The sequence below is a fragment of the Homo sapiens genome, chromosome 10 (genome assembly GCF_000001405.40).
Source record: "Homo sapiens chromosome 10, GRCh38.p14 Primary Assembly".
NCBI lineage: Eukaryota > Metazoa > Chordata > Mammalia > Primates > Hominidae > Homo > Homo sapiens.
The window spans coordinates 132,693,236-132,714,434 of NC_000010.11; the positions used below are offsets into that span (position 1 = coordinate 132,693,236).

The following is a 21,199-nucleotide window of genomic DNA, read 5'->3' on the forward strand; positions in this document are numbered from 1 at the left end:
ATAAAGAATGGGAGACCCCAAAGATACAAAGAACAAAGGCAACAAATAGAAAACTTACAAATATGGTAAATATTACTCCAACTATATCAACGATCCCTTTAAATGTGAATGGTCTAAATATACCAATTAAAGGACAGAGACTGTCAGAGTGGATTAAAAAAAATACCCAACTATATGTTGTCTTCTAGAAACCCATTTATATAAACACCTAAAGATTAATAGATAAGGGATGGAGGAAGGTATAGTGTTCTAACATGAATCAAAGGAAAACTTAAATGGGCCAAAAGAAAGCTGGAGGAGCTATATTAATTTATAGCATCAAATACATATATTAGAAAAGCAGAAAGATCTGAAATCAATTATCTAAGCTTGTACCTTAGGAAACTAGAAGAAAAGTAAATTAAACCAAAAGCTGGTTGTTTGAAAAAAACAATAAAATGGATAAACCTCTAGCCAGACTAAGAAAAAAAATGACACAAATTATTCATGTCAGAAATTATCAGAATAGGCAGAGCAGACTTCAGAGCTAGGAAAGTTTTCAGCAGTAAAGAGGGACATTACATCATGATGAAAAGATCAGATCTCCAAGAATACATAACAATCCTTAGTATCTAGCTGCCTAACAACAGAGTGTCAAATACACAAGGCAAACCAAGTAGAGCTGCCAAGAGAAACAGATGAACCCACTATCATAGTTAGAGACTTCAACACCCTGTATCAGGAATGAACAGATCTGGCAAGCATAAAATCAGGAAAGACATAGTTTAACTCAACAGCACCATCAAACAAATTGATCTAATTGACACTTATAGGATACCTCATCCAGTAACAGCAGAATCTACGTTTTTGTCAAGCTCGCCTGGAACATTCACTGAGACATCACATTCTGGGCCATAAAACACACCTTTACAAATTTAAAAGAACAGAAACCATATACAGCATGCTCATAGATTACAATGGAATTAAACCAGAAATCAGCACCAGAAAAGTAGCTGGAAAATCCCCAAATACTTGAACATTAAACAACACATATCTAAATAACATATGAGTCAAAGAAGTCTCAAGAGAAATTTAAAAATATTTTGAACCAAATGAAAACGTAAATACAGCTTAACATTCATGGGATATTAGCAAAAGTAATGTTTAGAGGTAAATTTATAGCATCAAATGCATATAAGAAAGAGCTAAAAAGAAAAAAGTGCTAAGAAGAAAGGAAGAAAGAGCTAAAATCAATTATCTAAGCTTCTACCTTAGGAAGCTAGGAGAAGAAAAGAAAATTCCAAAGTAAGCAGAAGAAAAGAAATAATGAAAATTGGAACAGAAAGCAACAGAATTGAAAACAGGAAATGAATAGAGAAAATTAGCAAAACCAAAAGCTGATTCTTTAAAGCGATCAATAAAATCGATAAACCTCTAGCCAGACTAAGAAAAAGAGAGAGAAGACACAGATTATTAATATCAGAAATTAGAGAGGGGCCATTACTGCCGATCCTGTGGACATTTAAAGGATAATAAAAGAATATCATTAATTTCTGCCTATAAATGTAATAACTTAGATGGGCCAATTCCTTGAAAGACACAATCTATGAAAACTCATAAAAGGAAAACTAGAGAATCTGAACAGGTCTATAGCTATTAACAACACTGAATAAGTAATTAATAACCTGCTGAAAAAGAAAGCATCAGACCAAATGGTTTCACTGGTGAATTCTATCAAGCATTTAAGGAAGACGTTATACCAGTTCTCTACAATCTTTTCCAGAAAATATAAGCAGAGGACAAACGTCCTAAATCATTCTATGAGGCCAGCATTACCCTAATACTAAAACCAGATAAAGACATTACAAAGAAGGAAAACTATGAACTGTAAACAAAAATGCTCAACAAAATTCTCAAGAGTCAGTTATATACTATGACCAACCGAGATTTACTCCTGGTATAGAGGCTGGTTCAGCATTTAAAAATCAATTAATGTAATCCATCACAGCAGCAGGCAAAAGAAGGAAAATCACATGATCATAGGATAGATGCAGAAAAAGCATTTCCCAAAATCCACATCTCTTCATTGTTTGAAAAAAAACTCCCAGCAAACTAGGAATAGAGGGGAAGTTCCTCAACCTGATAAAGAAGAGCTCCAAAAATCCTACAATGAATACCACACTTAATGAGAAATTAGATGCTTTTCCTATGAGATCAGGAACAAGGCAAGGATGCCTCCTCTCCTACTTCTCTTCAACATCTTACTGAAAATCTTAGATAATGTAATAAGACAAGAAAAGGAAATAAAAGCCATGTTGATGGGGTGATGGGAGATAGAACTATTTCTGTTCTCAGATGATATGATTATGTCAAGAATCTCAAAGAGTCAGCAACAATAACAGACAAACCTGGTACCAGTAAGCAATTATAGCAACATTGCAGGATGCCTAGTTAAGATACAGAAATCAATTGCTTTCCTGTGTAGCAGCAATGAACAGGTGGAATTTTAAATTAAAAACATAATACCATTTGCTTAAGCACACACCAAAAGGAAGTACTTAGGAATAAATCTAACAAATTAATACAAGATCTCTGTGAGGAAAACTATAAAACTCTGATGAAATAAGGAAGATCTAGATAAATGGAGAGAGATTTCATCTTCATGGATAGTTCTATGGTTGGAAAGTAGGTGCCCCCCACCCCCAAATTCATCTGCTGACCTCCTAACCCCTAAGGTGATGGTGTTAAGAGGCGGGGCCTTGGGAGGCTGATTAGAATGTGAGGTCAGAGCCCTCACGAATGGGATCGGAGCCCTCATGAAAGAGGCTGGGAGTTCATTTGCCCCTTCCATGCATGAGGACACACACAAGGCACTATCTGTGAGGAACCTCATCTCCTAGCACCCTGATCTTGGACTTCCCATCCCTCCAAACTAGGAGAAAGACACTTACTTTGTTTACAAACCACCCAGTCTATTTTGCTATAGCTGCCCAGTGGACTAAGGCAGATGGGAAAACCCAATACTGTCAAGGGCTCAGCTCTTCCCAACTTCAGCTATAGATTCAACACAACCCCAGCAAGGTGTGTCATGCCATTGACAAACTGACTGTAAAGGTTATGTGGAAAGCAAAATACCCAGAATAGCCCAGAGTTTTGAAGAAGAAGAGCAGAGTCAGAGCCTGCACTTCCTGACTTCAAGACTTGCTGTTCTGCCTTGTGGGTGAATGGGCCAAGCAGACTGTGGCATGTCAGCTCCACGGGGTGTTATTTGGTGATAAAAAGAAATGAGCTTTGAAGCTGCGAGAAGACACAGAGGAGGCTGACACACCTGCTACCAATGAAAGAAGCCAACCTGAAAAGGCTACACACTGTGATTCCAACTCTGTGACACTCTGGAAAAGGCAGAACTGTGGAGACAGTGAAAGGATCCGTGGTGTCTAAGCTCCGAGTTTAGGGAATGGCCTCTATTTCACGTTCTGTCCATGCTCCATAAGTCGCTGAAACATCTCATGCTGTCTCCTGTCCATGAGGCACCCACATCCAGGACTGTGCGCCTAGGGCTGGGCCGGGTCACAGCACCCAGGGCCAGGTCAGACCACAGCACCCAGGGCCGGGCCACACCACAGCACCCAGGGCTGGGCCAGACCACAGCACTCTGTTTTTTCCTGAAACTCCTGCCCACCCCAGTGGTGACCCAGTACCTTGGCCCATGGTGCTGTGGTCCTCAGGTTGCCCCCTCTGTTCCTCCTGCCATAGTGGGGTGGATAATACCCCAGAAACTGCAGGTTGGAGCTGCTTGTGGGACACAACACACTGCTCCAAAGCGGTCTCCAGGAACCTCGTTGACACCCAGGAGTGTCACCTCAGTGGCCCAGGAGCCATCCTGTGGCATCTTGCAAAGAGGCCAGCAGCCACCTGCCCACTGGACCCAGCAGGAGTTTGAGGAATGGATCCCTGCCATCCTTGATCACACCCCACCTTGGGTGTGGAGCTACCTGTCCATAAAAAGAAAGGCTGAGGCCTGGTTGTGAACAATAGTGAGACGGGCCCTGCCCATGGCGAGGCCTGTGTCCCTGGGCCTGGCCTATCCACTGGGGGGTCCAGGAAAGGTGCCAAGCAGCCACTGGCAAAGCCCATCTGGGAGGCACCCTGCCGCGCGCTGCCTCTCTCACCATCACACATAAACCTCTTCCCTGGAATATGAGTGATGGAGGCTGGATACGGGGAGGAAATCGATGTTATTAAATAAATTCATGTGAAGGTCTGAGTGAATGGTAATTCTACAGCCCTCTTAAATATATTCACGGGTTTAAAAGAGGATGCCAATTAGCTCCTGTAAATCTGCAGTCTGGGAGCTCTCAGGCGATAATGGAGTGGAGTGTCAGATTCCAGGTCATGGGAGGGGAATTTATGAGCCACAGGCATGGAGTAGCCGGCCCGCTGGGGGTCTGTTCTGGGTCGGACCCCTCATCAGGGCCTCCTCTCGGGGGGCCTCTCTGGCTCCCATCGGGCTGAAGTCGGGTGGAAACAGGTTGTGCTCCAGGCTGGTTGGATGGGGCACAGTGATGGGATAGTCACCTCGTCCTTCTGGTCTCTTCCAGCTAAGAAGTATAGAAAGGTCGCTGGCAAAGAGATCTACTCGGATACCTTAGAGAGCACGCCCATGCTGGAGAAGGAGAAGTTTCCGCAGGACTACTTCCCCGAGGTACGTAGCGAGGCTTTCTCACTGACGTGTTTACTTCTCAGAGTGAGCCAGTCAGAAGTGACATGGAACACGGAATTTTCGCATTGCACTGTTACTAGTCACAGCTGCCTGTTGTTACCTCCGATAATCTGTCTTCCTGGGAGTCCAGGCTTCTGTGGTTGGTCTGGGCTGTCACACGTAAGGGCAGTGAGAATCTAAGGCATTAGCACCAAGTAATCAGTAAGTTCCTGAATCCTCATATCCAGGAGAAAGAACCTTCGCCAAAAGATGTAGGAAAATCATTCAGCTCCCTTGGCGTGCACCTGGGGTCTCCCGCACGCCCAGCTGGGAGAGGGTCAGGCTGACTGGTGGTAACCAAGACAGTGGCTGACAGTCCTGTGTGCCCGTGGTGTGAGTGTGGGGCAGGGGCACGGTCCTGTGTCAGATACAGCCTTGGTGGTTGTGCCAGGCTGCGAGCAGCAGGGTCCCGGCAGTTATGCCTGCGTCACACGGAGAGATTAGAATCAAAATGTGTGGAAGGCATTTGTCGTCTCACTGCCAGACACGGTGTTGATGAGAAATTGGTGTTTCCTTCTGGCGGCCATGCACTTTGCTGAGCTGTGTGCGCGGCTGTTGCTCTGTGCACGTGATCTTTGGGTAAACCTCACACGCGGCATTGTCGGCGTCTCCCTGGCTGTGTAGTTAACCTGTCGAGGCAGCGTTTGCTGCTTTGCCCTTCCTCATCTGCTGAATCACAGTGGGGTGCAGGCACTGTGGCCAGAAGCAGCCCAGGCACTGAGACGGAAGAGCTGGCAGCTGGACGCAGGTTTGGGGGCGTCCAGGCTGTGATATAGGAGCTCTCGTCCGGACTTGTCTGCGCAGGCAGCCCCAAGAAGGATTGCTCTGCGGTCCTGTCTCCACGAGAGCTGTGCAGGCTGAGGCTGCTACGGAGCTGACTTCCAGCAAGGCCACAACTTTATTAACTTGCTTTATGGCCCGCACCTTGAGTGAGGGACTGTGGCCGCCCGTGAAGGATGGGGTGCTCCTGTCACCCTGTGGCTCGGCCTCCTCATCCGTCTTCCCAAGGCCAAGGACGCCGTGTCAGTGGGCCAGCCTCCTGTCCTCGGTCCTGCTTCCGGCACCGCCCGTTTGCCTCCCTCCGCTCCGGATGTCCAGCAGTTGGAAAGGACATGCAAGAAAGCTCCATGGTCTTCTCCACGCACAGTAGTTGCGTCCCTGGGTCATGACAGCCTCCCTGAAGGGGCCACCTGTGGTGCAGGCCCATCGGAAGGGCAGGGCGGGGGCTGTGGTGCAGGCCCGTCGGAAGGGCAGGGTGGGGGCTGTGGTTCCCCTGGAGAGCCTGCGAGCTGAACTCTGGCCTCTCTTGAACCCGGGCAAGGCTCTCATCTCAGAGTGACCAGAGACCGACTCAGGGCCCTTTGTGGGAAGCGTGGGTGCTGGGGTGGGGGGGGGCTGGGCTGGGCAGGGCCAGGCGCTGCCACCTGATGGCATGAGGAGAGCAGCTGTGGGTGGCTGGGCTGGTCCAGGCAGAGGCTGTTGACCCGGCACCTCGTCTCAGGACCCATGTGGCTGCATTGCTGTCCAGGGCCGTGGCCGGACCAGGTGCTGCTGGGCTGTCCCCTCCCCACCAGGTGTCCACTTATTCACTGGGTCCTGTCCACTCCGGATGGGGTAGGAGAGCCCATAGGGAGCCCCATAGCTCTTGGGGGTGGGGGCCGAGGTGTGTCCTGAGAGGCCAGGGCCCGCAGGGTCAGCCAGGGTGGGAAGCTCGGGGGCAGCGGGCCCTCAGCAAGGAACAGACACTCTAGGGTCCTCCCAGGCAGCCACACAGGCTCCTGACCCCTCCGTCTCTCAGCCCCGCCCCGAAGCAGCCCTGCCACTCTGGCCAGCGGGACCTCCTTCTTGCACCCATGCCTCAGGCTTCTCTTTTGGACCCAGCAAGCGGGGAGCTGAGGCCCGGGGCCCAGACTGAAGTTGGGCAAGATCTGGGGGCCTCTGCTATGACTTTGCCACCCTTTGAAGGGTGGGTGCCCTGGCAGGGGTCTGAGTGTGGCCCCTGGCCTTGGTCCCTAATGCCAGTACTCTGAGGCCTCTGTGATGCTGGGGGCCTGCTGGCATGGGTCTGTGGAGGGCATAGCACGAGGGGCCGCCCCTCCCCCAGGAAGAGCAGCCTCAGGCCCGGTTTGTATAGAAACCCCAGCCCCCAGCCTGGGTCCAACCCCAGTGTTGTGCAGTGTTGTGTCCACAGGCAGAGGAGAAGGCACATTCTGGAAAGTAGACGATTCCTGGGAGGAAAAGGCACCGAGCCTCTTTGTGTGGACCCGTCTCTCCCCTGGGAAAGCAGCGTGTCGCTGTCTGCGGCCTGGTGGTCAGCTGCTCAGCAGATCCTTGTGGCTGCTGGTGGCTGGGACGGGGGGCCAGCCCCTGCCCTGGGCCGAGGCCTCCCTGTGGGTCAGGGCCAGCCCTGCCACGTCATCGTCTTAGAAATCCTCCCGGGACCCGTGTGTTTGATGATCTGCAAAGGTTTTCTGACGTTTCCTCTTCCCTGGTAAATTAACAAAAGGAAACCCTTATTTTAAAAACTGTAAGCTTCTAACATTCTGTCCCTAGTGTGGGTTTTTAACCCCACAGAGCCTATGTGGCACCCTGTGTCCTTGCTGGAGGGAGGAAGGAGGAGGGAGGGGCCCGGGGAGCCATGGGAGTCCCGGCCTGGCAGCCTGGCCGGGCCCGCCCCTCCCTCTGTGCCTCTGCACCCGACCTCTCGCTGTGTTTGAACACATTTTGGAGGAAGGAACTAGTTTCAGACTGATTTCTCTTTCTTTTATTACCATCACTTAAGGGTAATCTAAATGTAATTACCTTGATGGGGGTATAATGCAGTCTCAGATAATTACAGCCGCAGCAGAAACTAACAAAACTTTCTCTGCTGATTTATGGATGCTTTTGGCTTGGTATGAATTTCAAATGATGCCTCTGGGAGCCACACTCCAGATAATGTGAGGCCATTTTTAAAACGCAGATTTGTGTAGTCGATCAGGGTGAGTCATTTTTTTCCTTTTGCCCGTAGTGAGAAATTGGTTGCTACCATAGATCACAGGGCCGGCTGCAAGCTCTCATGAAGGATGAATTAATTCCACTAATGCTCTGAGCGGGCCTTCGGCGTGAGGGTTGTGTGGCAATAACCTCCCCGCAGCCTCTCTTTTCTCCGTGGCGATTTATGCCGTCTTTTAGTAGATGAAACCGGCTGGATTCGCTATCCATCTGCCTGCTGAAGGAACCCTATTAACAGGGGCCTGAGAGAGACTTCATATCATCAGGTGAAGGATGTACCCCCACCCCCACGGGATGTGGGTGTCATTTCTGAGGTGAAAACCTCTCTGGGAGTAGAGGAGCCAACACAGGCCAGGGGGCGGCCACCTCGGGAGAGCGGAGCCACGGCCGTCCCATCTGCAGGCTCCTGAGGGCTCCCCAAGTGAGGGCTTCGAAGGTGGCCGGTGACCAGAAAGTTCCCGCACACAGCCTGGGATGGAGGAGACCCCCAGCCCTGGCCATACACCCTCTGCCTCCATTTGCCGTGGCTGGAGCAACAAGTATGTACATCCAGAAGCTTCTGGGGTCTTCCTGAGTCCTGAGCATGTGAGCGTTGGCTGAGGCCCCAGGACGCCCGTCTCTGCCTCCCAGCACTTCCCGGCCCTGCTCTGGAGGACAGTGTTGGGTGTGGGGTGCATCCACCTCAGGCTGGGGTGCTCAGGTGCGCCCGTGGGGGCGTGGCCTCTGGGAGGGGCCCCTGAACCTGCTGATGACTCTGGGGACCTCCTTCCTCTTGGGCCACCCCACCCCACCCCAGCCCTGGCTGCCTGCTTGGGGCTTGGCCAGCAAGGGGAGTGGGGCGTCGGGAGGCGGGGACTTCAGTGCAGGAATTGGGGCGGTGGTTCCCGTTCTGGTTCTTTCTCCAAAGAGCTGGAGGTCTTCAGGCCCCAGTTTCCTCGCTGGGGAAATGAGGGTGGTACCTGTCCTGAGTGCTGGTGGGGCCACCGAAGGGTGCATGGGACGCCCTCTGTGAGGACTCTCCCTGCACCGCGCATCCCACCCTAAACCCAAGGATGCGACCGCACCTGCAGCCACGGGCCGTGGAAGTGTCAGGACACTGTGGGCTGTGGCTTCATTTGTTCCTGCTGTAAAATCCCTCGAAACATAGTCTTAGTGCAGTGGTAGCTGCTCTGACGAGCTTACCTCAAAAGGAACTTATTTTCTACAAATACTTTAGAAAATAGTTGGTTATGATAATATACTGTTAAATTTTCTGAGATTCATTTGCAATTTATTTAAAAATCTTAGAATCCTAAAACTACAGTTATTACCAATTTATATTATTCAAAAATAACATTGTTTCTCGTTTTATTTATTCAGTCTATGGATAATTAATGTTGGAAAAAATTCTCCATTACTGTGGAAAACTTAAAAATTTAAAAAACCAAGATGTACCCACATGCACATAGATTCAAGACACACAAACACACACCTTAACACAAATAATCGAAAACTCAGGAGAAGAATAATTAATTTTGGTTCAAAAATTTACAAATGCCTTCCATTTTTAATGGAAGTAAAACTGTTGACGGTTATCGCAAATTCTAGGTAAAAACCTGGGCATGCTCAGTTTGGGGTCTCTGCTGTACCTGTCAGAATTCAGAGGCGTGCGTGCAGGGAGGTGCTGTGTCCCTGTGTCCCGGGCCCTACTGCCTGCCTGGAAGCAGGAGAGGCAGTGCCCGGGCACAGCTCTGACGCACATGGGAAGCGCTTGCCTCCACATGCCACGGAGCACCTCTGCTCTCTCGTTCCACAGTGTGCTCTGGGGCTCTGGCCCCATCCAGCAGGACTGAGACCCATGGGCTGTCCTAGCAGAGGATGTGGACAGCGCCTGCACCCAGGAAGTGGGCTGTGGGATGCTTGGGGTGGGCCGGGGCACTTGTTTACACAGGGGTGACTGTGGGCTTGGGGGAGTGGCAGGGGCACTACCGCGAGTCTGGACGTGGGAGCTGGCAGAGGGCGCCCTGCCGGTGCTGGTTAGGAGCGGCCTCCAGGCTCCCTGCCGAGCCCACACACCGGGGTTGGGACTCCCCTCCCTCCCGTTGGGTGCCCCCCACCCTTCGGACTCACCGTTTCTCCCAGAGGAGCTGGTCCTGACTGTCTCACAAGGCCAGCTTCCCCTGCGGTCACCCCTGTGACTTGGTGCAGGCAAGACACCTGTCCCGGTCGCTTGGTGATTGCATCAGCGAGGACAGATCCGGGCTCTTGTGATTGTCATCAGCTGGCGAGGACATGGATCTGGGCTCTTGCGGTCGTTGTCATACGTGCCTCCTGCACAACCCTGTGCCCGCGGTGCCTGTCTTCCCATCCATGTTGACCGCAGGTTTCTCACCCGCCAGCCGCAGGCCCCTGATGGAGTTGGTTTCTGGGGAACTGGCCCTCGGCCATCTTCACACACAAGCGGCTTCACCCCCCCACATACACACAGCTTCACCCCCACACACATGCTTCACCCACAGACACACGTGGCTTCACCCCCCACACAGTGTCTTCACCCACACACACACACACACACTCACATTTACCCATACACACACGTGGCTTCACCCACACACACACGTGGCTTCACCCCTGCACACACATGGCTTCACACACACACGCACAGCTTCTGCCCCCCAACACACGCGCACCTTCATCCCCGCACACCCCCACACACACACACGTGCAGCTTCACCCCCGCAGACACATGCGGCTTCACCCCCCCCACACACTCACGGCTTCACCTGCACACACATACACGTACGGCTTCACCCCCCCCACACACACACACAGCTTCACCCCCACACACACGCTTGGCTTCACTCCCACACACACACGTGGCTTCACCCCCCCCCACACACACAAGCTTCACCCACACACACACGCACGGCTTCACCCCCCACACACACACGTGGCTTCACCCCCACACACACACGCAAGCTTCACCCCCACACACACGCGGCTTCACACACACATGCCACACACACGCAAGCTTCACCCACACACACACGCACGGCTTCACCCCCCCACACACGCGTGGCTTCACCCCCACACACACGCAGCTTCACCCGCATGGGTTCTGAAGGCTTGGCCTGATCTCTGCTGCAGCATCTGGTTCCCAAAGCATGTCAGGCCCCCCAGTCCCCCCAGACAGGAGGTGTCGAGGCACGGAAGATGAGCTGCTGGTGCTCTAGGGGAGTCGTGTATTGAGGCGCCTTGGCCTGCAGGGACGGTACCTTTTCTCCTGGAAAGACGCCTGCCTCCCACTGTCACTAGTAGAGGGGCCTCACCCAGTTACTGTAGATTTGTCACCAGTCACACGTCCAGCCTTCTCCCATGACAGCCCCCATGGGTGAGAACCCAGCCTTGGGCCCAGTGACTGTGGCCTAAAGCCACCAAGGGACCATAGGTGCAGTTCTTAACCTGTGAGCCTCAGTTTCCCTTTCTGGTCGGCCCGAGGGTTGGGTGTGTGCCTGTGTGTTGGACGCCAGCCCGCGGCGGCTGCTGGTGCGCAGAGCCACCCCTCGCAGCCCGCCGGCAACATGGGCTCTGTCCTCCCCTCCTTGTACCCGAGGCCCCACAGCTGGGACTTGAACCTGGCAGCCTGGCAGTCCTGTCTTACCCACTGCCTTGAGGCCCTGGGTGCTGCTGGTGTGGATCCTGTGCGTGGCTGGGCCGTGGGGGGGCAGTGGCTGTTCCAGGTGGGCCGTCTCCCCGGAAAGTGCAGGCTGGATTTGGACGTGTGGGAGATGGAGGAAGGGCGTCTAGTCAGGCAGCAGGCAGCTCCTCTGGAGTGTGGAGGATGGAGGAAGGGCGTCTGGACAGGCGGCAGGCAGCTCCTCTGGAGTGTGGAGGATGGAGGAAGGGCGTCTGGACAGGCAGCAGGCAGCTCCTCTGGAGTGTGGAGGATGGAGGAAGGGCGTCTGGACAGGCGGCAGGCAGCTCCTCTGGAGTGTGGAGGATGGAGGAAGGGCGTCTGGACAGGCGGCAGGCAGCTCCTCTGGAGTGTGGAGGATGGAGGAAGGGCGTCTGGACAGGTGGCAGGCGGCTCGTCTGGAGTGCAGGCTGAGTGGAGGGGAGAGAGTCCAAGCATTGGGGGTGTCCCAGCTGCACCGTTGGTGGGAGCATGGAGCCCGCTGTGGGGCATCAGCAGCACCCACTTCTCCCCACAGCTCAGCTTCCCACTGATGTGTTTCCATTGCAGACACAGTTACCGACAGGAAATGAACACAGAGGCTCCCCGGGGCAAATGGCCTCCCCGAGAGAGGAGGCGGACATGTTTGGAATCAGAGACAAGTGTCTGGTGCAGCACGCAGGGAGCCTGCCACCCCGCCACCCCGCCATAGAGCTCCCTGGGTCGTCTGGGCATGGCCCCATGCAGCAGCCAGACCAGTAGCCTGGGGATGCCTTGGCCAGCCTCCTGGAGCTTTGGCACAGCCCATGTTGTTTGGCAAGCAGGGCAGCCTGAGCACAGCAGGGGATGTGGGCTCAGTACCAGAGCCAGCTCGTGGTGTGAGGACGGATCCTCCTCGACGAGTAGAGCCATAGCCTGGCGTCCAAGTGCGTGGCCAGGCCGGGAGGAGTGTACAGGAAGTCTCTGTACCTTATGCTCAATTCTTCTGGAAGCCTAAAGCTGCTCTGAAAAATAAAGCCTATTACTTCTTTAAAAGTCTGCTTACCTGGGGCCCGGGACTTTACAGGTGAGGGAAGAAGGACCAGCCCTGGAAGGAGGAAGCTTGGAGCCACCTGTGGACCCTGAGGGTGCGTCTGTGGGTGCCTCAGTATCACTGGGGAGCAGAGAGCCCAGACCTTTTACAATGCTGGGTGGGGTGGCCATGGAACTGCACAGGTGAGGAGGGGGCGCCTCTCACTCCCCAGGAGACTGCAAACCAAGAACGTCTATGAGACGAGCAGACACCAGAATACAGACTCACCCCAAATAAAGTTGATTTCTTGGGAAAAGCTGACAGACTTTAAGTATGTTTAAATTGCTCAAAGAGATAAGTGAAAGATAGGGTTCATTAAAAATGTTATTCAACTAAAACAGAAATAAAACAAGAAAAGGGAATATGAAGAGGAGCCTGTAGAAACATTAAACATTCTGCATTAGAAATTACAGAACAGATTCTAGACTAGATGTGGTCAAAGAGAGAATCAGAGAATTAGACAATGTCATTAAGGAGTTCATCTAAACATAGTCAAGACGGACAAAGATTTGTGTTTGTTTGGTTGTTTGTATGTTTTTTATTTTTATAGAAAGGAGCAGTTAAAAGACATAAAGACTATTAAGAGGCTCAAATAAACTCAAAATAAATTCCAGAAAGAAGCAGTGGAGCAGTGTTGGAAGTGATAAGGGGAAATTCTTAAAAATTTAATTCCCGAGCACAATTTGGATACAGAGCAGGATATATAAAAATAAACCCATACCTGGATGGCAGTGAAGCTTCAGAATATTGATGACAAAGAGAAAAACTTTAAAACAGCCAGAGAGAGGAAAACATACATTCAGAGGATTCACAGTTCGTGTGCCGGGGTGCTTCTTACAGCAGTGGTGGATCCAGAGTGCAGGGGAAGAATGCAGTGTGTACGGGAAGGGTTGGCTGGCTTCAGCATCACCCCCACCAGTGTGTGGGGCTTGGAATTTCCCTTCTTGAGCATGAGTGGGAGCACTTAGGGAGGGGGCAGGGAGCACTTGTGGTGGGGGCAGGCAAAGAAGGGCCTCATGCCTGGGAATCCACAGCCCTAGAGCCTTGCCCAGGAGGGAGCTGTGGGGGCCACTGTCCTGGAGGGAGACAGGGAGAAGGAGACGGGGCTGCAGGGGCCACTGTGCTGGATGGGGACCAGGAGAAGGAGACAGGGCTGCAGGAGCCACTGTGCTGCCAGGTGCCGCCAACAGGCCAGGCGAGATGAAGGGCGAGTGTCTGTAGGAGTTTGCCTGTGGAGGCTGTGGTGACCTTGCAGAGAGCATTTGGGCAGCTGTTGTCTGGCACGTGCGCATACTGGAGGAGCCAAAGGGGACGGTGGCCAGTGGCAAGGTGGGGTCAAAGGGAGAGCCTCTGATCACTGCGCTCTCCGTGTTAGATAGAGGGAGCACGCCACGCTGGACCCTTTCTTCACGGGTGTTTCGTCCACAGTTAACTCCAGATTCCCATCTGCTTTCATCTCCTCAGCAGACCTTAGGGTGTGGTGGAGGAGACAGGGTCTTCCCTGTCCTGCTTTCCTTCTCTGCCAGCCCATGAGCACCAAGAACAGCAGCCCCTGTCCACCTCCGCCCCCGATGGCGCCAGGCATATGGCTGCTGCTGGGAACGGAATGGGCGGTGCCCTGCCCTGTTGGCTGCCGTTCCCCCGCCACTGCCTGAAGCGCTTTGCTTTGTGGACCTTGGACTTGACTCTGTCAGCCTCTTCCCAGTGCCTTCTGTGGTTTTCAAGGGTTTCCCAAGAGGCCTAGGCTGTGAAGCTACCCTGTTCTGCATGGCTGTTTAAATTAAAATTAATGAAGATAAAATGGAATCTAAAATTCAGTTCTTCAGTCATACACTTTGCACGCTCGGTGGCCCCGGTGGCTGGCCACTGCTGTACTGGGTGGCCCAGCAGAGGAACCTACCATGGTGGGAGGTGGGAGGGCAGGAGGGCCTCCATGCCATCTCGAGGGGAGCCCTGCCACCTCTTAAAGAACACCCCTCTTTGGAATCTCATGCTGTTGACTGTTTCACTTGAATTTTGGGGGTACTTTTAGACCAGAGCTCAGGCTCTACGTTCGGTGGCTCTGCTAGGTGGTGGGGATCAGTGAGAGGCATCGGTGGGTGAGAGGCATCGGTGGGTGAACGGCATCGGTGGGTGAGAGGCATCGGTGGGTGGTGGGGATCAGTGAGAGACCACACACACTGTTGGGGTGGGCAGGTCACCCACTGTCCAGGACGCCTGGCTGGGCACGGCTGCTCAAGTCTTCCCTGTGGTCCAGCCGAGGGCGGCCGTGTGTCTCGAGCTCCCTGATCAGCATCTGTGGTGACAGTGGTTTCCCTGCAGCTGCTCTCACATGGGGGCATGGGGCTCACAGGCGGCAGGCTGGCACGTTTCTTCATATCTTCCCCCCACCCCACCCCAGGCTGGGCATCAGCAGCCCCTGCAGGCATCTCTGTGCGAAGCCCCACTTGAGGATAGGTGCACAGCTCGGTTCTCTTTAGTGGGGCGGCATCAGTGCCGGAAGAGCCCTGCTGTTTTTTGTTTGGAAAGCATCTCCTGTGTCCTTTAGGTGTGTGGGACCCACGTGTTGCTCTTGCTCACTTACTCTGGCTCATTTGTGTGACGTGTTTATTTTTCAGTGCAAATGGTCAAGAAAAGGCTTCATCCGGACGAGGTGGTGCATTGCAGACTGGTACGTGGTGTCTGTGCTTTGTCAATTTCCATAACGTTTCTTACCCTTTTATATCTTGCACCAGCGGCATGTTCCACACACCTCATTGGAGGCTCTACTGATTTTGCATGAGGACCCCCAGCTGCCTGACCCCCACCTGCCACTCTGACCCTTTTGGTTCACGGCGATGCATTCGGAGCATTGTCACTGTTCCCTGTAAGTCAGACATCTGGGTGCCCAGTGCCAATGGAGACACAGTGACGGCCCCAGTCCCTCCCCGCAGCTGGAGAGTTCCGCTGGCCAGAGCCCGCTGCACAGAGAAGTCAGCAGGGAGGCCCCCTAGTACTGGGGCCCTGTGGCTGCCCAGTGAGACGGCGTAAGCGCTGCCTGGCAGCCTGGTCCATCAGCAGACTGAGCACAGACGTAGCGGAGCCTGCGTCTCATCCACATATCCTCTGGCCTGGCCTTTCTGCAGTGAACATGTTCTCGATAGCGCCGCCCCACCTTTTCTGCATCATAAGAAACAGAAACCTGTTATCTGCTTTCCTAAGGTGGCTTCCAGGTGGCTCCCCAACGTGTCCCTCCAGCCATCACATCTCATTTGAATACTGTTTTCATTTTCTTTTCATGGATTTTCCAAAACTTGGCTGCTTGATTATCTGCTGCCATGTAACAGACCGCCCTAAACTTAGCAGCTTTAAAAACACATACGAGGTCATAGCTGTGAGTGTCTCAGGACCCAGGAGTGGCTTTTCTGGGGCTCTGGCCCTGGTCACCTTGGGGCTTCCAGAGGACTCATCTCCGAGCTCACTGGGGCTGTGGGCAGGGGTTTCTGCCCCTCCCCCTCGGGCCTCTCCCTGGGGCTGCTCAGGGCAGGACATCCCCAGGAGGAGCAAGAGTCCAGAAAGTGAGGGGGATGGAGGGAGGGAGGGGGGAGGAGGGGGAGGAGGAGGGGATGGGGGAAGGAGGGGGAGGGGGAAAAGAAGGAGGTGGGGGAAGAGTGAGAGAGAAGGGTAGGAGAGGAGAATGGGGAGGGGGAAGAGAGGAGGAGGGAGGAAGGAGGGGGAGAGAAAGAGGAAGAAGAGGGAGGGGGAGGACAGAGGGAGCTGAGAAGGAGCCGCGGTCCCGTGCCCACCCCAGGCAGTGCAGGCTGCAGGCTGCCCTTTGCTGTTGGTCACAGGGAACAGCCTTGGCATGGTGTGGGGGCACATGGGGCACGTTCACCAGGCAGCGTCATCGGGGTCATTGTGGCAGCTGGGCCACAGGCTGGAGGAGGGCAAGACCGCCTGCACGCACTCATTCCTGGCGCCTCCTGGTAGGGAGACGGCCAGGTCTTGGAGCCTGTGGAGGACACGCAGGCAGTGAGGGCTTTGTGGGACAGTGTCCAGACTGTGCCAAGCCCTGCACTGACCTCCCCTGGTGAGAGGGCACGTCCTTGCCAGCTGAAGGTGCTGAGGGTCCCCTGCAGTGTGACAGAGGCTCAGGCCTTGATCAGGCCTTGCCGAGTCCATGTGCCTGCAGGCCCACAGCCGGCCCACGGGGCTTCCCAAGGGTCTTCCCTTTGGGAGTGAAATGAAGCACTCTTCTTGCCTGTCCCTGTGCCCCCAACCCTGCCTTACAGGGTCCCCGATGGGTGCAGCCGGCAGCCCTGAGCAGCATCAGCTGAGGCTGAGGGGTGGCCCTTCCTCTTAGCTTAGCCATCAGGGAGAGTTTCCATAGTCACCTGTAAGTTTTTCTCTTTAAAGAAAAGTAGCTCACTTTTTAGTTGCCCAGAGTAACTGCATTTGTAAAGACATATTCAGACTTCACTGGAGGTTTCCTGACCTCTGGCCTTGTCGGAAGACAGGTGGGTGGACAGGTGCCCCGCCTCGGGTGGCTCCGCACGGCGGAGGCCAGTGCAGGTCTTATCTTCCCGGGGACTCCTTGGGAGAACGAAGTGTGACCCGGAGGCTCCGGCCCTTGGTGACGTGTCCTTTTCTCTTTTGGTTGCAGTGCCTTTGACTTGGTGAATATCCATCTTTTCCATGATGCTTCCAATCTGGTCGCCTGGGAAACAAGCCCTTCCGTGTACTCGGGAATCCGGCACAAGGCACTGGGCTACGTGCTGGACAGGTAGGTGTGGGCGGGCAGGTAGGCGTGGGCCGGGCAAGTAGGTGTGCTGGGCAGGCAGGTGTGAGTGGAGAGGTAGGTGTGGGCGGACAAGTAGGTATGCTGGGCAGGTCGGTGTGGGTGGACAGGTAGGTGGGGTGGACAGGTCAGTGTGGATGGAGAGGTAGGTATGGATGGCAGGTAGGTGTGCTGGGCAGGTAGGTGTGAGTGGACAGGTCGGTGTGGATGGAGAGGTAGGTGTGGATGGCAGGTAGGTGTGCTGGGCAGGTAGGTGTGAGTGGAGAGGTAGGTGTGCTGGGCAGGTAGGTGTGAGTGGAGAGGTAGGTGTGCTGGGCAGGTATAGGTATGGGTGGAGAGGTAGGTGTGCTGGGCAGGTATAGGTATGGGTGGAGAGGTAGGTGTGGGCGGGCGGGTAGGTGGGTGGGCAGGTCGGTGTGTCCACTCACCCTGTTGGCCACTGGGAAAGGCTGTGCCTGCTCTGGGAGGCACACTCTGCTCTGCGCTTGCTGATTTGCCGATGGGCCTTACTGGAGTTGCCCCATGGAGGTGGCAGAGCCCCCAAGCCCTGGCAAAGGCTGGAGCTGCACCCTCACAATGGACTTGGATGGGGATGGCTTCACTTTCTCTCTGACTTTTTTGTGGGAAAGATAAGAAAACGGTGCCATGGGGTGCTGTGGTGGGAGGTGAATAGGACACTGAAGAGTCAGTGGGAGCGTGGGGGCCACCTCCACCTGCGCCTGGGCCCCTGCCCCCCAGTGCTCCGGGCTGCTCCACCGGTGATACTGTGGAGATGACGGGCTGTCACTGGGAAGCAGGGGACCCCCATTGGTGGGATGTGTCTGATCTTGGGGCCCGTGTCCCTCCCCATCTACAGCTGGGCCTTTTGCTGAAGCTCAGGCCCCACAGCCAGGCAGTCTGGGTTTATTCTCTGCCCATTCCAGTTAGGCCTGTCATGGAAACCTTTCCCGCCAGCATCCCTGTGGTTGACAAGACAGTGCTCCGTCAGCTTGGGCTTGCAGCAGTGATGAACACAGGCCTGAGACCAGCAGTTCTGCCCTGGGGTGGTCCCTGATTTCCACCTGAACCCCATTCTGCTCCCTAGAGGGCCCCTGACCTGAGCCCCCGCCCAGCCCCCGTGCGTGCAGAATGCGGAGTTACACTCCCGACTAAGCGTGCGAGGGCCTGGAGCTGCCCTGCGCCTCGCCCACCTTCCAGCAGCTGGCATCCTCAGACGCCGACCTTCTGTTCCCGGGGCCGGTTCTCTCCCACCCACACCTGTCTTAGCCTGGACTTGTGCAGAGCAGAATAACTGAGTCATTCCCAGGCCACCACTGTCCCTGGGGCAGTCACAACTGCCTGGGGCTGCACAGGCAGAGGCAGGGATTGGCAGGCACTGAGGTCTGGACCCAGAGAGGGAGGAGGCTGGGCAGGGCCTGGTACCCTCTGAGCCTCTGGGAGGCTTCCTGGGGAAGACAGTGGGAGGAGCAGTCCATGTGGAGGGGTCCGTGGGTGGGGCCCCTGCCCCAGAGTCATGTGTGGTATGTGACCAGCGCCGTCAGATGCTCAAGAGCAGGAGTGGGAGAGTCCTATGAGAGGCACCCCTGGGGACTGTGTGGAGCACATTTCTACCCAAGACCCACGTCCTGAGGGGTCCCTAAGGCAGGTGGGGTTATGAAGGAGAACAGCAGCCAGCAGGTCCCTGCCTCCTAATAGTGCCTTGTAAGGATAGTGTTCAGTGTGCATGTGTGTGCCTGTGCGTGTGTGCATGCCTGAGTGTGCACACCTTGTGTGCATGCAATTATGTATGTAATTGTGTGTGTGCACACATGCACATGCATGTGAGTGTATGCACAGTTGCTTGTGGGGTTTGTGTGGGGGTGGGTGTGCGCACATCTGCGTGTGTGTGTTCGTGTGTGCATGTGTGTGGATGCTTGTGTGTGCATGTGTGGGTGCACGAGTGCATACATATGTGTGTGCACGCGTGTGTGGGTGTGTGTGGGTGCATGTGTGGTGTGGATGTGTGTGGGTACATGTCTATTTGGGTGTGTGCACACTTGCAGGGGTGTGGGGGTTGCATTGTGTGTGCACACGTGGACACATGTGAGTGCACTTGTGTGGCTGCATGTGAGTGCGGGTGTATGTGTGCGCGGGTGTGTGGGTGCATGTGTGTGTGGGTATATGCATGTGTGGGTGCATGTGAGTGGGTATATGCATGTGTGGGTGCATGTGAGTGGGTATATGCATGTGTGGGTGCATGTGAGTGCAGGTGTATGCATGTGTAGGTGTGTGTGTAGGTGCATGTGTCTGTGTATTTGGGTGTGTGCATGTGTGCAGGGGTGCACTGATGCATGTGTGCATGTGTGTGGGGCCTCGTGTGGGTGCATATGTGTAGGCTTGTGTGGGGGTACGTGTCGATGTGTAGGCCTGTGTGGGTGTGCATGTGCCTGTAGGTGTGTGCATGTGTGTGGGTGTGTGCATGCATGGGTGTGGGCGTGTGGGTGTGTGGGTGCATGTGGATCTGTGTGGATGCATGTGTGCTAAGGTGTATGCATGTGTGCTGGGGTGTATGTATGTATGTGTGCGTGTGTGTGGGTGTGTGTGCATATGTGGGGAGAGCATATGCACGTGGGTTGGATATGTGTGCAGGTACATGTGGGTATGTGTGCATGCAGGTTGTGGGTGTGTGGAGTGCATGTGTATGTGTGTGTGCGGGTGTGTGTGCATTTGTGGGTATGTGCACATGTATGTGTGTAGGTATGGGTGTGCACACGTGTGTGTAGGTGTACAGGTGTGGGTGCATGTGCACATAAGTGTGTACCTGTCATAGCTCAGCACTGTGCATCCTGAGGAAGGGGTGGAAGGCTGCATTCTCCAGTAGGTGTGGCTCCAGGGGGAGTTGGAGCTGATGGGGCCCCTCCTGAATGCTGGCTCCGTCTGCTGCTGTGGTGAGTGTGGCCTGCGTGGCTCCTTGCCTGCCGCCTTCACGATCCTCCCGGGTTCCCCACAGGGCTCTGCACAAGGAGTCTGGGCTGGGCTCCCATCCCTGTGCTGTTATTAGCGGGTATATGGCCTTGGCTCTCCTCTGCATCTGGCCCTTGCTGAGGGCCCTGAGGCGTGGCCCCTTATCCCCTCTGACCGCCCCTGACCTCCGTCTCCAGAGTGATGGAGCCCTGGTCCCCTGCCACTAGCCTGGTCCCGGGGAGGGTGGCAACTGCGAGGCCTGGGTGCTGCTGTGCTCGTGGCCACACACTGAGGCCGGCCCTCAGCCCTGTGCACGGCCACACCCTCTGCAGGGGACCTGTCCGGCCTCCCGGATATCTCTGGAGCTGGCACTGACACCGAGGCAGGGATCGGTCTGAGCCTGGGGACTGTGCTCTCAACTGCCCACCGTAGGGAAGCAGCACAGGTGGGGGATGGGGGCCTGGGGCTTTGTCAGCGACAAAGTGACTGATGACCGCCTGTGCCCTGGGCGCCCTCCCTGGACAGCATGTCAGTCGCCCAGGGAGAAGGGCCTCACCCACAGGAGCGGCGCGGTTCTTCCTGCCTGATCAGCCCTCGGCTTGCAGGCACCAAGCGTCTCGGGGACCTCCCACGGAGCCCAGGAGCAGGGAGGGCCCTGCCGTGTCTGCTGTTGGGTCTTGGTGACAGCGGTTAGGTTGTCAGCATGGCATGGCATTAAAATGTGTCATTGCCCCTCGCTGCCATGGCTCCGCGGCCTCAAGAAAGCAGCCTTTGGGCTTTTGGGCCACTTTTCTGCGTCTCTGCATTCCCATGAATGGCTCCTGCGGCGCGCTCAGCCAGCCGCAGATCCGGACCTCCGCGGCGTGGGGCGGGCCGCGCAACACAAAGGGCGGCTCTGTCGGAGTCTGGAACAATGGGTCGCCCTTTCACCGCGGCTGCTAACCTCTTGGCAGCCACCAGCAGACCACATTCTGCTGTGCGGATCGGGCAGGACAATGCCGCGCGGCCTCTGAATGGACG

At 54.6% G+C, this 21,199-nt stretch overlaps 1 protein-coding gene across 8 annotated transcripts in view, besides 1 other annotated feature; it reads left to right on the top strand.

Annotated features, from left to right (window-relative positions):
• INPP5A (inositol polyphosphate-5-phosphatase A) overlaps nucleotides 1-21,199 on the top strand; it is a 245,694-nt gene that overhangs the window by 155,449 nt on the left and 69,046 nt on the right. For all 8 annotated transcript variants that reach the window (XR_001747104.2, XR_945735.2, XR_007061963.1 and 5 more), the window contains 3 exons: nucleotides 4,581-4,684; nucleotides 15,078-15,130; nucleotides 17,102-17,221. Coding sequence is in view for 4 of the 8 variants with exons in the window: in NM_005539.5 (NP_005530.3) it covers nucleotides 4,581-4,684; nucleotides 15,078-15,130; nucleotides 17,102-17,221 (277 nt within the window). In the remaining 4 variants the exon portion in view is untranslated. The remainder of the gene's footprint in view (nucleotides 1-4,580; nucleotides 4,685-15,077; nucleotides 15,131-17,101; nucleotides 17,222-21,199) is intronic.
• Nucleotides 16,514-17,014: an enhancer, noted in NCBI's record as "H3K4me1 hESC enhancer chr10:134523253-134523753 (GRCh37/hg19 assembly coordinates)". NCBI's record gives its function as "activates a minimal SCP1, AML or CMV promoter by ChIP-STARR-seq in primed H9 embryonic stem cells {active_cell/tissue: H9 hESC(primed)}" and the evidence as "EXISTENCE:reporter gene assay evidence [ECO:0000049][PMID:30033119]".